General features: G+C 46.1%; 1 protein-coding gene and 1 long non-coding RNA gene across 40 annotated transcripts in view, besides 2 other annotated features; one reads left to right on the forward strand and one right to left on the reverse strand.

Annotated features, from left to right (window-relative positions):
• IL15RA (interleukin 15 receptor subunit alpha) overlaps positions 1 to 14,714 on the reverse strand; it is a 29,842-nt gene that overhangs the window by 11,688 nt on the left and 3,440 nt on the right. For 8 of the 39 annotated variants that reach the window (XM_011519464.3, XM_047425185.1, XM_011519467.3 and 5 more), the window contains 2 exons: positions 5,558 to 5,752; positions 3,156 to 3,254 (listed from right to left, as the gene is read on the reverse strand). The exons of 6 other annotated variants lie outside the window; for them this stretch is intronic. In XM_011519464.3, coding sequence (XP_011517766.1) covers positions 3,156 to 3,254; positions 5,558 to 5,752 — 294 coding nt within the window. Of the gene's footprint in view, positions 1 to 83; positions 169 to 3,155; positions 3,255 to 5,557; positions 5,753 to 8,006; positions 8,117 to 8,188; positions 8,342 to 14,714 lie in introns of those variants that run through there. 25 more of the 39 variants (XM_011519461.3, XM_011519462.3, XM_011519468.2 and 22 more) reach the window with 6 other exon arrangements.
• LOC107984200 (uncharacterized) lies at positions 168 to 13,477 on the forward strand. The gene is made up of 3 exons (XR_001747348.2): positions 168 to 1,487; positions 3,597 to 3,734; positions 11,407 to 13,477. It is a non-coding gene; the product is annotated as an uncharacterized LOC107984200 (long non-coding RNA).
• Positions 3,883 to 4,384: an enhancer, noted in NCBI's record as "H3K4me1 hESC enhancer chr10:6006433-6006934 (GRCh37/hg19 assembly coordinates)". NCBI's record gives its function as "activates a minimal SCP1, AML or CMV promoter by ChIP-STARR-seq in primed H9 embryonic stem cells {active_cell/tissue: H9 hESC(primed)}" and the evidence as "EXISTENCE:reporter gene assay evidence [ECO:0000049][PMID:30033119]".
• Positions 4,385 to 4,884: an enhancer, noted in NCBI's record as "H3K4me1 hESC enhancer chr10:6006935-6007434 (GRCh37/hg19 assembly coordinates)". NCBI's record gives its function as "activates a minimal SCP1, AML or CMV promoter by ChIP-STARR-seq in primed H9 embryonic stem cells {active_cell/tissue: H9 hESC(primed)}" and the evidence as "EXISTENCE:reporter gene assay evidence [ECO:0000049][PMID:30033119]".

Here is a 14,714-nt window from a genome sequence, read left to right on the forward strand (position 1 = left end):
GGGACAACATCAGTGTGCAGACTCCCCTCCTCTCAGCTGCAGCACGGGGTGATGTGGGAGCTGCCATAGTGAGTCACCCTGACCAGCCCTCCCTCTCTCACAGCCAACTGCTCCTTGAGAGGGTGACATAGCCGTTCCTCTGGAAGGGCCATAGGACCTGTGAAAACACTAAAGAACATGGCTACTATCACGGCACGTATAAAGAAAAGATCAGCCAGACACAGTGGGTCATGCCTATAATCCCAACACTTTGGGAGGCTGAGGTGTGAGGATCACTTGAGCCCAGGAGTTTAAGACCAGCCTGGGCAACACAGCAAGACCCTGTTTCTTTTCCTTCTTTTTTTGAGATGGAATCTTGCTCTGTTGCCAAGGTTGGAGTGCAGTGGCGCGATCTCAGCTCACTGCAACCTCTGCCTTCCGGGTTCAGGCAATTCTCCCTGCCTCAGCCTCCCAAGTAGCTGGAATTACAGGTGTCCACCACCACGCCCAGCTAATTTTTGTATTTTTAATAGAGATGGGGTTTCACCACGTTGGCCAGGCCGGTCTCAAACTCCTGACCTTAGGTGATCCACCCACCTTGGCCTCCCAAAGTGCTGGGATTACGGGCGAGAGCCACTGTGCCCTGCCGCAAGACCCTGTTTCTACAAAAATAAGAATAACGATAAATTATCCAGGTGTGGTGGGCATGTGCCTATAGTTCCAGCTATCTGAGAGGCTGAGGCAAGAGAATCACCTTAGCCTAGGAGTTTGAGGCTGCAGTGACCTATAATTGAGCCATTGCACTCTAGCCTGGGGGACAGAGTGAGACCCCTGTCTCTTAAAAAAAAAGGTGGGGGGAAGAAAAGAAAAGGTGTCAAAGATCTGAGTCGTTCAGCTTGTTTACTAGAGAAGGCAGGCCCAACGCTGGAGGCTCAGCTGAGAGCAGGTGAAGCTGCGCTGGCCGAGGACGCTCGGAGCGGCTGCGTGTGAAACACGGGAAGCCTGGGCTCTGGCCTGAACTCTCCGGGCTGTGTGGGAGGAAAGCGTCCTGATGAGCTTGCTCTCAGGAACAGAGGCTGCCTTGTGTTCAGCGTCTTCCCTGTCTTCCTTGTCCTTCCCTGGAAGGTGGCTGCCCCTGCACTGTAAGGGTGTGGCGTAACTGTGCTGTTCCCTCTCCATGAAAAATGTGTCTTCCATTGTGACAGCCACGGAATCTAGGAAACGTGAGGCCAAGCGCTGTGGCTCTCTGGACGCACTGTTGTTGCCGCGTTCCCATGGTCTCCCAGCCACACAGGTCATGAGAAGGCCTCACGCCCCTTAATCCTGTGTCACCACCTTTCATATAACTTGCCCTACGCTCACTGCCAATGCTCCAGGGCTCCCTGCACAGGACGCACCAAGGCATCCTCAGCCAAGTGCCCACGGTCGTGCCAGCTCGGGTCAAAGGCTGCTGTCACATCGGGGCTTCTGACTGCACCATTGTGTCTCGACAATGGCCATCGGACCAGGTATTGGGGATGCGAAGGTGGGGCTGGGAGAGCCTACTTGATCATTCTCCTCCTTGGGTGAACCAGGTGTGACTCAGATCAAAGGGGTTGTAGAATTACTTCAAGTTTAAATGGAGCCAGCCCCTCAACCCCTTCCTCCCTGTGCAGGTGACTCACTAGGAGGGAACCTTGTTTAGCTGCTTCTTCCTCCCTTAAGATGCAGGCCTCAGCCTTGGCCACTTAAGAACCACCTGTGGGCTGGGTGCAGTGGCTCACACCTGTAATCCCAGCACTTTGGGAGACTAAGGCTTGCGGATCACCTGAGGTCAGGAGTTTGAGACCAGACTGACCAACATGGTGAAACCCTGTCTCTACTAAAAATACAGAAATTAGCCAGGCGTGGTGGTGCACGCCTGTGATCCCAGCTACTTGGGAGGCTGAGGCAGGAAAATCACTTGAACCTGGGAGGCAGAGGTTGCAGTGAGCCAAGATTTCACCTCTGCCCTCCAGACTGGGCAATAGAGCAAGACCCCATCTCAAAAAAAAAAAAAAAAAAGATCCACCTGGGGCTGGAGAGGCGTGAGTCCCAGATTGCACCCAGGCCAACTGGAGTGCCCAGGTGATGTCAGTGTGTACCCACGGCTGACAACTGACACTCCGCAAAGGATGGCTGAGTCCTGTAGTATGAATGACAACAGACAGGCCCATCCCCCCGGGGGCAAAGGAGTAGACAGGACCAGGGAAAGCCACAGGCTGGACGATGCAACACTAAAGCCAAGAGTGAACTGTAGCACAAAGGTATCATAGCATGCAGGGCGGAGGATCCCAAGAAAGCATCCAAGATTTCAAATTTTCTGAACACTGAGAAAGCGCTGAGGAAATTGGGCCTGACAAGCACCAAAGACTCTGTTGAAACACAGGACACTGGCAGCTTCAGGCAGCGCCTCTATAATAGAGCAGTCACTGGGATGTGCTGGTGTTTAGGTCTGGTGGGGGCAGCTCTCCACAGGTCTCTCACATTTTTGCACATCTTGCAGACAGAGGAGCTGATGGCCCTTTCTCTGGACCATCCTCTCAAGGGTGCTTCTACAGCAAGCGCCTTGGAAGACGGGGACATGGTCTCCCCTGGAGCAGAGAGCAGGTGTGATTACTGCCCATGACAAAACGCTTGGGTCTCGGAAGCCCAGGCTTCCTCTCCCACAGTGCAGCCCGCTGAGTGGACAGGCATCTGTTCAGGCCCAACTGTGCTGCCCCTGCTGGCTAGGGGACGAGGGAATTGATGTAAACATGCTGAAGCTCCCGCTGCCTGCTGGCCTCCCATCCTGGAGTGCCCTCTTTTCTGCCAGCACCCATGAAAATGTTGAGGGCTAACACACATGCAACCTCAAACCTCAGTCTGCTTTCAGTTCTTGACAAAGATAAGTGTCTACAACTAAATTTGATATGACATATTAGTGAGTTTTAAACCACTATTAATTCTGCACATATAACACCTGGATATCAAGCAACTTTGATTTGAAAAAGAAAATTAAGTTGGACGTTCTTATTCTTGATTGAATAAGACGTTTGCGCTATTGCCTAAGTCTGCAGTGGCACACCACAGAGGTCCGTGAGTCTGCAGGATTGGTGAGCGGGCCTCTGGGTGTTGGGAGGGAATGAATGTCCTCGAGAAGTTTCTGACCTTCCTACCTTTTCCAGAAGGGGAGAGGCTCTCTGGCTGTGGGGTCACCCCTGCCGTCGTTACTGTGGAGGGTGGCGCTGGCCTTTGGTGAACCAGGGCAGGGTCTCCTAGAGAGAGGATAACCACATGGCACTTATGATCCTGAGCCTGGAACCTGGGCTGGCTTCAGAACGGGATACAAATAAAATATATCAACACATGAACTTACAGTGGAGGCCTCTGGCTTCCTCAGACAGGTTAAAAGCATAAGAAACAATGTTTCCCCACCCGAATGCAAAGATAGACTGCAAACTATTTTTCTTGCATTTCCAAAAAGACTGCACAAGTTAAATATCAAATTTATTTTGGCTGAGATTATATTAATGATATCAATTCAATTTTATAATGCTGGTTATTCTTGGGAGAATAAATGATCACTCAATAGATTCTATTTTGTTTGTTTGAGACAGGGTCTTGCTCCGTTGCCCAGGTTGGAGTGCAGTAGTGTGATCACAACTCACTGCAGCCTTGACCTCCCGGGCTCAAGAGATCCTCCTGCCTCAGTCTCCTGAGTAGCTGGGACTACATGTACGTGCCTCAATGCCCAGGTAATTTTTATCTTTTAATTTTTTTGGTAGAGACAGGGTCTTGCTATGTTGCTGAGGCTGGTCTCGAACTCCTGGTCTCAAGAAATCCCTCCCATCTCGGCCTCCCAAAGTGCTGGGATTACAGGTGTAAGCCACCATACCTGGCTTACATTTCACTTGTTGAGCAGGAAAAAAGTCATTCAAAGCACAAGAGTTTGGGAAGCATAACAGAGGGAGTTGTGAGTGATCAGAACGTGGAAGGATCCTTTGGGCTAGGTGAAACCTAAAGAGGCCTCCAGTCTTTGGACTCTAAAATCCTGATTCCGGGTTCTCTTCTTTCCTCTCCCATCCTGACCCTGGAGCCCATAGCTCTTCTCCATCCCGGATTCATTTGCCCAAAGGACATGGAGTGTCGAGGAGACCTGACTTGCCCTGCAGTGAGAAAGCCCTCATTTTACCTCGGGCAGACAGGTTCCAGGGAGTCCCAGGACTGGCAGAGTAAGACCCACCGTGGTTCCCACAGATCCTGCTCACCCCGCCACGCTCAGCTTTCCCATTCACTCACTGATGCCACGGGGTGCTGTGTCCCCAGCGAGTGATTTCTTGGAACAAGTCGGAGGCTTCCTCCCTGCCTTCCCTCTGCTGCCTGTGTGACTCGCTCTGTTCTGGGGGAGGAGGCTGAGCTACCACTACCAAGCCAGTGGCAATGTCCAGCGCCTCAAGGAGCTCCCCTCTGTCCCCTGCTGCAGAGGGCGTGAGCTATGGGGCCGCTCCATGCAGGGGCGCGCTCATCCCTGCCCCAGAGATGAACTGGGGAAGGAGAGAAGCCTGCAGAGGTGGGCCTGAGTGTTCCAGAAACAGCTCCAAGTGGTTCCCACCCGAGATGGTTTGGCTGCTTCTGGGACGTTTATCCAGGTGCAGACAGTTAAAAAAAAAAGTTGATTCTTGCCACCTTCCCTCACCCCTGCTGGACACCATGCACAGGTGACTGAGCAAAGGGCAGCCCTGCTCCAGGGCCTGTGCCCATCCCCGGGGCTGGGTACTGAGAGAGGAGCAGTGATGGCTTCCAACATCCACCTTCTCATGGGAAATCCAAACATTTCTCACACTAGCGTGCTCATGAGTGCCCGCCCAGCTCTGCAGCCAAATTCTCCTGCCAGCATCGTCTCAAATCAAAGCACTACATGTAATAAGAGTTAATATTTACCAGGGTTCACGCCACCCTCCCACAGCCCGCAGTGTGGATATCAAGTCCGTTTTCCAGATGACCAGCCAGAGTGCCAGAATATCACAAGAGCTGCCCAAGGCCTCCTGGGTGGTAGGCGGCAAAGCCAGGATTTAAACCCAGAATCCTGTGACCCCAGCACCTGTGTGTTTCCAACGCCAGGAGCTGTTGCTGAGGATCACACTGGTGTCTTTCTTTTTTTCTTTCTTTTTTGAGATGGAGTCTTGCTGTGTCACCCAGGCTGGAGTGCAGTGGTGTGATCGCGGCTCACTGTGACCTCTACCTCCCGGGTTCAAGCAATTCTCCTGCCTCAACCTCCCAAGTAGCTGGGATTACAGGCGCCTGCCACCACGCCCGGCTACTTTTTGTATTTTTAGTAGAAACGGGGTTTCACCATGTTGGCCGGGCTGATCTGGAACTCCTGACTTCAAGTGATCCTCCCGCCTCGGCCTCCCAAAGTGCTGGGATTACAGGTGTGAGCCACCGTGCCCGGCCCCCACTGGTGTGTTTAGCCTCAGACCTCAGCACAGATCCCTTGACCCCTGAGATGGGGTCTTCTCTCTGTGCAGCCTTGGCAGGGTGGGGGAGGGAGGAAGGTGGGGTGGCAAGGGCTACTCACTAATGCATTTGAGACTGGGGGTTGTCCAGTGGGCGACATTCGTGGCCTTGTTCAACACGCACTCCGTCAGGCTGGACGTGCCGGCTTTACGCTTGAAACCAGAGTTACAAATGTACCGCTCCCTGGAGTACAAGCTGTAGCTCTTGACCCAGATGTCTGCGTGTTCCACGGACATGGGGGGAGGGCACGTGATGCCTGCGAAAGTGCAGAGGACAGGGGACGGTGAAGAGGTTTCCACTTGTAAGAGGCGTTCTCCAGGCACACGCAGCGGTAGTCAGTGTCCAGCTTATCCTAGGGGTGCCTCAGGACAAGCCCCAGGTGCCAGGCACGTGGAGGATGTACAGGAAGAGCATCCTCACCCAGAAGCCTTCCTGGAGCCTCGCCTGAAGTGCCAGTCAGCCAGCAAAACTACAGATGAGGGCGTGGGGAGAGGGTCATCGATGAAACACCCTCTCCCTTCATTTCCCACCCCTCTCCAAGCCCTCAGTCTCTCTTAAAGTCTTCACCCCTCTCCACCGTGGACCCAGCCTCCAATTCTCACTGAACGACAGCAAGTGCCTCCAGATAGGCCCCCTGCAGGCTCTCCCACAGGTCTCTGCGGCCAGCATCACCTTTAGAAATGCATCTTTGAGCCTGGCCAACATGGTGACACCCCATCTTTATTAAAAATACAAAAAATTAGCCGGGCGTGGTGGCAGGCGCCTGTAATCCCAGCTACTGGGGAGGCTGAGGCAGGAGAATTGCTTGAACCTGGGAGGCAGAGGTTGCAGTGAGCCACGATCACACCACTGCACTCTAGCCTGGGAGTTGGCCAGGCTGGTCTTGAACTCCTAACCTCAAATGATCTGCCCGCCTCGGCCTCCCAAAGTGCTGGGATTACAGGTGTGAGCCACCATGCCAGGCCCTGAATTTCTATTCTAATAGTTTTTAACTGGATCAAATTCTCCCACCTCCATCTCAAAAATCCACTCCCTTGTGTGTGCACATGTGTGTGTTAGCTTGGCAGTACTTGCAAGATCGGGCCTTGCCTTGTCTTGCCTTGCCTTACCTTGCCTTACCTTGCCTTGCCTTTCTTTTTTGAGACGGAGTTTCACTCTGTCACCAGGCTGGAGTGCAGTGGCACGATCTTGGCTCACTGCAACCTCCACCTCCTGGGTTCAAGCGATTCTCCTGCCTCAGCCTCCTGAATAGCTGTGACTACAGGTGCACACCACCACACCCAGCTAATTTTTGTATTTTTAGTAGAGACAGGGTTTCACCATTTTGGCCAGGATGGCCTTGATCTCTTGACCTTGTGATCATCCCGCTTTGGCCTCCCAAAGTGTTGGGATTACAGGTGTGAGCCACCGCACCCGGCCAAGATCAGATCATTCCTTTGCAACTGCAAAGACACCTTATTCCCCATGAAGCATCATTTTCCCAAAGGCTGCTGTTGCTTTCAGCTCTGGTTGGTCATTCATACATTTTGGAATGCTTTCCATTCCCAGGATATAGTGCATTGGAGAGAGAGTGGATGAACCAATGGACACAGCTCAGCTCTGTTGGAAGTGACAGGTGTTGTTTAGTTACAGTTGTTGGTACATGCCCCTGGAAAAGTGCAAGTGTGGCCGGAAGTAAATTCGATAAAGAATAGGCTGGGTGCGGTAGCTCACGCCTGTAATCCGAGGACTTTGGGAGGCTGAGGCAGGCGAATCACCTGAGGTCAGGAGTTCAGGACCAGCCTGGCTAACATGGTGAAAGCCCGTCTCTACTAAAATACAAAAAATTAGCTGGATGTGGTGGTGGGCGCCTGTAATCCCAGCTACTCAGGAGGCTGAGGCAGGAGAATCACAGGAACCTGAGAGGCGGAGGTTGCAGTGAGCCAAGATTGTGCCACTGCACTCGAGCCTGGGTGACAGAGCAAGAATCTGTCTCAAACAAACAGAAAACCCCCCAAAAACCAACAAACCAACCAAACAAAAAACATTAGCAACAAATGCCAAAGTGTTAAGAACCTTAGCACGGAGAGAATTCTTATAAAAATCAACACAAGACAAATACCCTAATGGCCTAACTGGGCAAAGGACACAGTGGGTGAGTCACAAGAGAGCCATCACCTAAGTCCACACAAAAACATCCCAAACCTCACTAACACATCCCTGTTAGAATTCCATGACCTCTGCTCTTGCTTCTGAAGGATCCTGTACCAGGCAGGCTGGGGGCAGGGTGGGAGGGGAGAAATCTCAAATTCAAGATTGTTCTTTCCATTCAACTCCCATCCCAAAGCCTTCTCCTCTGTCACAGGGGCAGCGCTCTGCTCACTTCCTGTCTCAGGCATCTATTGTCCAGTGGCCGCCACTACTCCCCATTCCAATGAGGACACATCTTCTGCTAAGCTGATGGCGTGAGAGATGGAGTCGATCTCACAAGTTGTTGAGGTGGATTTGGATGCTGCTGTTGCTATGGTTACCTGCAGAGCCCCACTGGCTTTGAGGCCTCTGGTGCTATCTGGTGCTGGAGTGTCAGAGGCTTTTTCTCCATGTTCTGCTCCACACTGATCTTCTGTCCTTCTCTACCTGCCTAAACCACAGAGTGTTATTTCTCCACACTTGCCCACCCCATCCTGCCCTCCATGATAGATGGCTGTGCTACCTGCTTGCTGCCTGCTTGTCCGATGGTGGTGGCACTGGGGGCAGTTTTCCATTGTCCTGAGTCTCACGCAGGCCTCGTGTGTCTGGACCTCATGGTTGAAGCTTTCAGATATTCTGCTCCTTCCCGCCAGGACAGCCAGCCTGTCTCTTGCATCTGTAACAGGTTTTGTACAGGAAGTGTTCCCTGCCCATTTCCAGCAGCCGTGGACCTCCAGGGCTGTTTGTGTAGGATCCTGAGCAAGGACTAAGTGTATTGTGTGTGTTTCTGGCTGACTCACCAATCGATTCCATCGATCTATGTGTCTGTTTGTTTTGACACCAATACCGTGCTGCCTTGATTATTGTTGCTTTGTCATAGGTCTTAAAGTCAGGTAGTATAAGTCCTCCTACTGTGCTAATCATTTTCAAAGCTGAGTTTGCTTTTCTAGATCCTTTACTGTTTTTTTGTTTTTAAATTAAATTAAATTAATTTTTTAAATTAAATTTTTAAATTTAATTAAAATTTTATAATTAAAATTTTTAAATTAAATTTTTTAATTTAATTAAATTTTTAAAATTAAAATTTTTAAATTAAATTTTTTAAATTAAATTAAATTAAATTAAATTAAATTTTTCCAAGATAGAGTCTCACTCTGTCTCCCAGCGGGGAGTGCAGTGGCATGATCATAGCTCACTGCAGCCTCAGCTGCCTAAGCTCAAGTGATCTTTCCACCTCAGCCTCCTGAGTACCTGAGACCACAGATGTGCACCACCATGCCCAGCTAGTTATTATTTTTTTAATTTGTAGAGATGAGGTCTTGCTATGTTGCTCAGGCTGGTCTCAAACTCCTGGGTTCAAGGGATCCTCCCAAAGTGCTGGGATTACAGGCGTGAGCCACCCCGCCTGGCCTACTGAATTTAACAAACAGTGTATCAATGTCTACCAACAAAAGCCTGCTAAAATTTTGATTGGAATTCATTAAATTTAAAGATCAGTTTGGGGAAGAATTGATATCTTAATAATATTGAGTCTTCTTAAAAACCCATCAACACGGTATCTCTCTTGATTTATTTAAGAATTCTGCAATTTCTCCAGAAATGTTTTATAATTTTCAGCGTGCCAGCCTTGTACATCTTTTGTCAGACATATCCCTAAGTATTTCATATTTTTTATGTCACTGCAAATGGTATGATATTTATTTCGATTTCTTATTGTTTGTTGCTAGTATTTTGCATATTGATTTTTTGGTGTCTTGACTCTGTATTCTGCACCCTTGTAAACTCACTTATTCTAATAGCAGCTTTGTAGATTCCATATGATTTCCTATGGAGATGATCACATCATAGATTCTCTGAGTATGTTTTATGATTCCATTTTATCTCCTTTGTTGGTTATTAACTATAACTCGTTGTACTAGTTTAGTGGTTGTTTTAGGGTGTCCACTATATATCTTTACCTTATCACAGTTTTCCTTCCGGTGATGTTATACCACCACATACATATCCTGTAAAGATCTGAAACAGCAGACTTCCAGTCTCTCCCCCAAGCCCTTGTGCTATTGTTCTATGTTTTGCTTTGACATATGTTATACCCCATGACACATTGTTATTATTTTGCTTTAAACAGTTGATTATTGTTTATCAGCTCAGGATTTTAAAAGGCATTTGCACTATATTATTTATCATTTCTGGGTGTTTTTGTAGCAGGAGGGTTTTTTGGTATCTACTCTGTCATTTTGCTGAGAAAGGAAGTCTATCAGTGGTTCTTCCATTCTGAACGGTCCTCAAACCAAGATAAATCTGTGAATAGTTAATGTTTGAATGTACAAGGATATCAATGTACTACAGCCAATCCAACCAGGCAAATGGTGGCCAGTTACTTACTTTATAAAGTTGGACTGTCTCATAACTATATTGGTGATATTACTAACACTGTTTCATTTTATTATTTTATTTTTAAAATGATTTTATTTTATTTCATTATTATTTTATTTTATTTTATTTTATTTTATTTTATTTTATTTTGAGACAGGGTCTAGCTCTGTCACCCAGGCTAGAGCACAATGGCATGATTATGCCCCGCTGCAGCCTCAAACTCCTGGCCTTAAGCAATCCTCCTGCCTCAGCCTCCCGAGTAGCTGGGACTAGAGGCACATGCCACCATACCTGGCTAATTTTTTTTTTCCTAGAGATGGGGTCTCACCATGTTGCCCAGCCTGGTCTCAAACTCCTGAACTCAAGCCGTCCTCCAGAGATAATACATTTAATTGAAGCAATAACTTCATTTCCACATGCCTTAATCACATCTTTAGATACTTGAATTATACTTTCTATATATTCTCTCATAACATTGTTCCCTAGTTATTCAATGTAAACAAGTCTCACCTTGTTTACAATATTATAAGCTCCTTGCAGATGGTATGTATATTTCACAGTTCTGTGGTACTCTCACTTTCCTACGGCTGGTATACGATAGATATTTTCTGAATACATATAATGGAATTATGAAGTAATGGAAATTGGAGTAAACTTATGGCTCTAGGACTTTCAAAACTCTGAAGTAGCCAAAAAACATATACAACAAGTCCTAACGATCATTTAAATGAAGTCACCAAAATAGTGTATGAGGCCACACCTCTTTCTGTTTCCCAGAACCTGTGAATCACACTTCCTTATCTATCAGGTTGGTTTACAGAGTCTAATAAGAGCTGGCAGCCTCGGCCTGGTTCCATATCCAGAGTTCAGAGGTTGTCGGGTTAGCGTGGCTCCCAATCCTGTGAGCAGAGTCAGAATGGACTCCAACATTCCCCTCGCTTACAGCACCTTTCAAATGCCTGCACGAGCTAAGGGTGGTAGGATTCAGAGATGTGTCAGATATGGTTCCTGCCCTCAGGATGCTCACTGTGGAGCTGGTGTACGGAAAAGGCAAAGGCCTCTGGCCTCACAGTCACCCATCACCTTCCTTCCTTATTTTCCCCGCTGAAATGTCAGCCAAGTCAACACACTTCCTTTTGGAGTTCCCAAAAAGTACAGACTGTCTCCAGCTCACTGCCTGAAACTTGGCAATTCTTTTCTTTCTCTCTCAGACTCATTAACTGAGCTTCCTGACCCACCTCTTGTGTGCCAGGTGAATTTCTCCATAACTCGAATCCTTAAATAATGATTATTGGAGTCTTGCAAGAGTTGAGGGCTACAGGTTGAAGAGCAAATGAAAGGAAAGTAATGAAATACATTCTATAGTTTTAGGACTCGAGAAGACATCTGGCCTCTTCTGTCTCCTGCATTGACACCGCCTGTGTTCAGGATTTCATCACCACCCACCAGAACGATTTCAAAAACCTCAATGCAGCTCCTATTCTCTGGAGTCTCCTGACTACAGTTCATTCTTCACACTCTGAACAAGAGCAACCTTTCCACCATGCAGCTCCAGTAATGCTCCCCTGCACAGAAACCCTCAGGGACTCCCCACTGCACAGAAGGGAATCATGCCTTTCCAAGAAGAAGCATTCAAATCACATCAACTATGTCCAATGAGCAACACTGATATGACTCCCACGATATATACTGAGGAGTTTCATATATATTTATTCATTTAGATACATATTATTATTACTGTTATTATTTTTATTGTTATTTTTGAGACAGAGTCTCGCTTTGTCGCCCAGGCTGGAATGCAGTGGACAAGTGTTTGTGAGTTGGACAAGCTTTCGTAAAGTCATGAAAACATTGCCAGACAAGATCAGCTATAATTAAAGATGAATTAGAAAAAACTCCAAAATTCTGGATCTTAATTGTGCTATTTCTTTTGTAATTTTATTTATTTACTTTTCTTATTACAAAACAATTCAAATTATGGCAGAAAAATAAGAAAGGGCAGACAACTGCATACATGCCCACATATGACCAACACATGACATCTTCCCCATTCAATGACAACTACTTCTTGATCTTCTTCTAGTAAAAAAATGAATCATATGATGTCTACTACTTGAAAACAACTCCATTTTATTTACTCAGTCCTCCGCTGTTTAAAATTTATGTTGATTTTGACAAATCTCATGTTTTATACACTCACGTTTTCACCACTTTTTTGCTATCAGTAGAGGCAAAGAAGCAGTAACAACTAGATAAAATGGATAGGAAATAAAAAATAAAAGGTTTGGGAAAAGACCCCTAAAGTTCTGAAAAATGGCTTAAAAATACTTAAAGACACATGAAAAGTTGTGAAAACAACCCCAAGTGCACTTACACCTTACATAAAAAAAGCGAACTGAAATTGGTGGCTAGGGATATTTGTCTTCAAACAAAGCAGTCTTCTCAGTTGCTTCTGGCCATCGCCCGCAATCTTTCAGACTGAAATGCTCTCTAAGAAGTCAGTGACCTTCTACCCAACATAATGGACGCCCCTGCACATCAGGCCTTTTAAATAAGAACAGACTGGCAACAACTTGTTGTGCATAGTAGCACAAGAAGGAGACTTTGCACCTTAGTGATATTGATTTGTCCAACCCATGAACATGGTATATCTCTCCATTGATTTTGTTCCTTAATTTCTCTAAGCAATGCTTTGTAGTTTTCCATATATGAAAGATGTCTTTCACATCTTTTGTTAGATTTATCCGTAAGTATCTAATGCTTTTTAATGTTATTTCAAATGACTTTTTAAAGTTTTTTAATTTCTAATTGTTCATTGTGAATGTATAGAAATAGAACTGATTTTTGTGTAGTGGTGTTTTGTATACTGCAACCAACTTAGACACATATGGCTGACTGATGTTCAAAAGGTATAAGAGAAGGTCAGTGAAGATAATCTTTTCAATAAAGGGTGCTGGAATAATTGGATATGCATATATAGAAACAAACAAAATCCCAAAACAACCTTTAATTCATGCCTCACATTATAAACAAAAATTAATTCAAAATGGATCACAGCCATAAATGTAAACCCTAAAGCTATAAAACTTCTAGAGGAACACATAGAAGTAAACCTTTGTAACCTTAGGCTAGGCAAATATTTCTTAGATATGACACCAAAAGCCCAAAACACAACATAACAAATTAATAAATTAGACTTCATAAAAATTAAAAACTTCTGCTTTTCAAAAGACACTGCTAAGAGAAAGGATAAGCCACAGAATCTGAGAAAATATTTGCAAATCATATACCTGATTAGGGCCTCGTATCCAGAATATATAAAGAACTCTCAAAATTCAGTAATGATACAATTCAATTTTTTATACATAAGACAGAGTCAGAAAAAAAAAAAAAGACAGTCTCGCTCTGTGTCCCAGGCTGGAGTGCAGTGGCGCGATCTCTGCTCACCGCAACCTCTGCCTCCAGGGTTCAAGCGATTCTCCTGCCTCAGCCTCCTGAGTAGCTGACATTACAGGCATGGGCTACCACAGCTGGCTAATTTTTGTATTTTTAGTAGAGAAGGGGTTTTACCATGTTGACCTGGCTGGTCTCGAACTCCTGGCCTCAAGTGATCTGCCCGCGTTGGCCTCCCAAAGTGCTGGGATTACAGGTGTGAGCCACCACACCCAGCTGATACAATTCAATTTTTAAGAGAGCAAAAAAAATATAAACAGATACTACCAGAGAAGATATATACATGGCAAATAAGCACATAACATCACCAGCTGTAGAAAAATGCAAATTAAAACTACAAGGGGAGACCCCCTACATACCTAGTAGAATGGGTAAAATTAAAAAGATTCATCATACCAAGAGCTGACAAGGGTGTGAAGGAACTGGAACTTCCCTACACTGCTGTGGGAATGTAAAATCGTATAACAACTTTGGGAAATGGTTTAGCAGTTTCTTTAAAAATTAAACTTCTGAGGCCAGGTGCAATGGCTCACACCTGTAATCCCAGCACTTTGGGAGGCCAAAGCAGGCAGATCCCCTGAGGTCAGGAGTTCGAGACCAGCCTGGCCAACATGGTGAAACCCCATCTCTACTAAAAATACAAAAATTAGCCGGGCGTAGTGGTGCAAGCCTGTAGTCCCAGCTACTCAGGAGGCTGAGGCAGGAGAATCGCTTGAACCCAGGAGGCAGAGGTTTCAGTGAGCAGAGATGGAGCCACTGCACTTCAGTCTGGGCAACAGAGTGAGATTCTGTCTCAAAATAAGTAAATTAAAAATAAATAAAAATTAAAAATAAATAAATAAAAATTAAAAATTAAACACCTGAGAGGTCAAGGCTGCAGTGAGCTATAATCATGCTACTGCACTCCAGCTTGGGAAACAATGGTGTGACATTGTTTCAAAAAAAAAAAAATTAAACATACACCTGCCATATAACACAGCCACTCTACTCCCAACCATTCTCTACCCATGAGAAATGAAAACATGTGTCCATACAGAAACCTGTATGTCAGTGTTCATAGCAGCTTTCTTTGTAATAGTCCCAAACTGGAAACAACCCAAATGTCCCTTAACAAGTGAATGGCTAAACAAATGATGGGCTAGCCATGGGTAGAATACTACTACTCAATGGTAGAAACTAATGAACTACTTATACAAATTACAACATGGATAAATTCTCAG

Source organism: Homo sapiens, chromosome 10 (assembly GCF_000001405.40).
Source record: "Homo sapiens chromosome 10, GRCh38.p14 Primary Assembly".
NCBI lineage: Eukaryota > Metazoa > Chordata > Mammalia > Primates > Hominidae > Homo > Homo sapiens.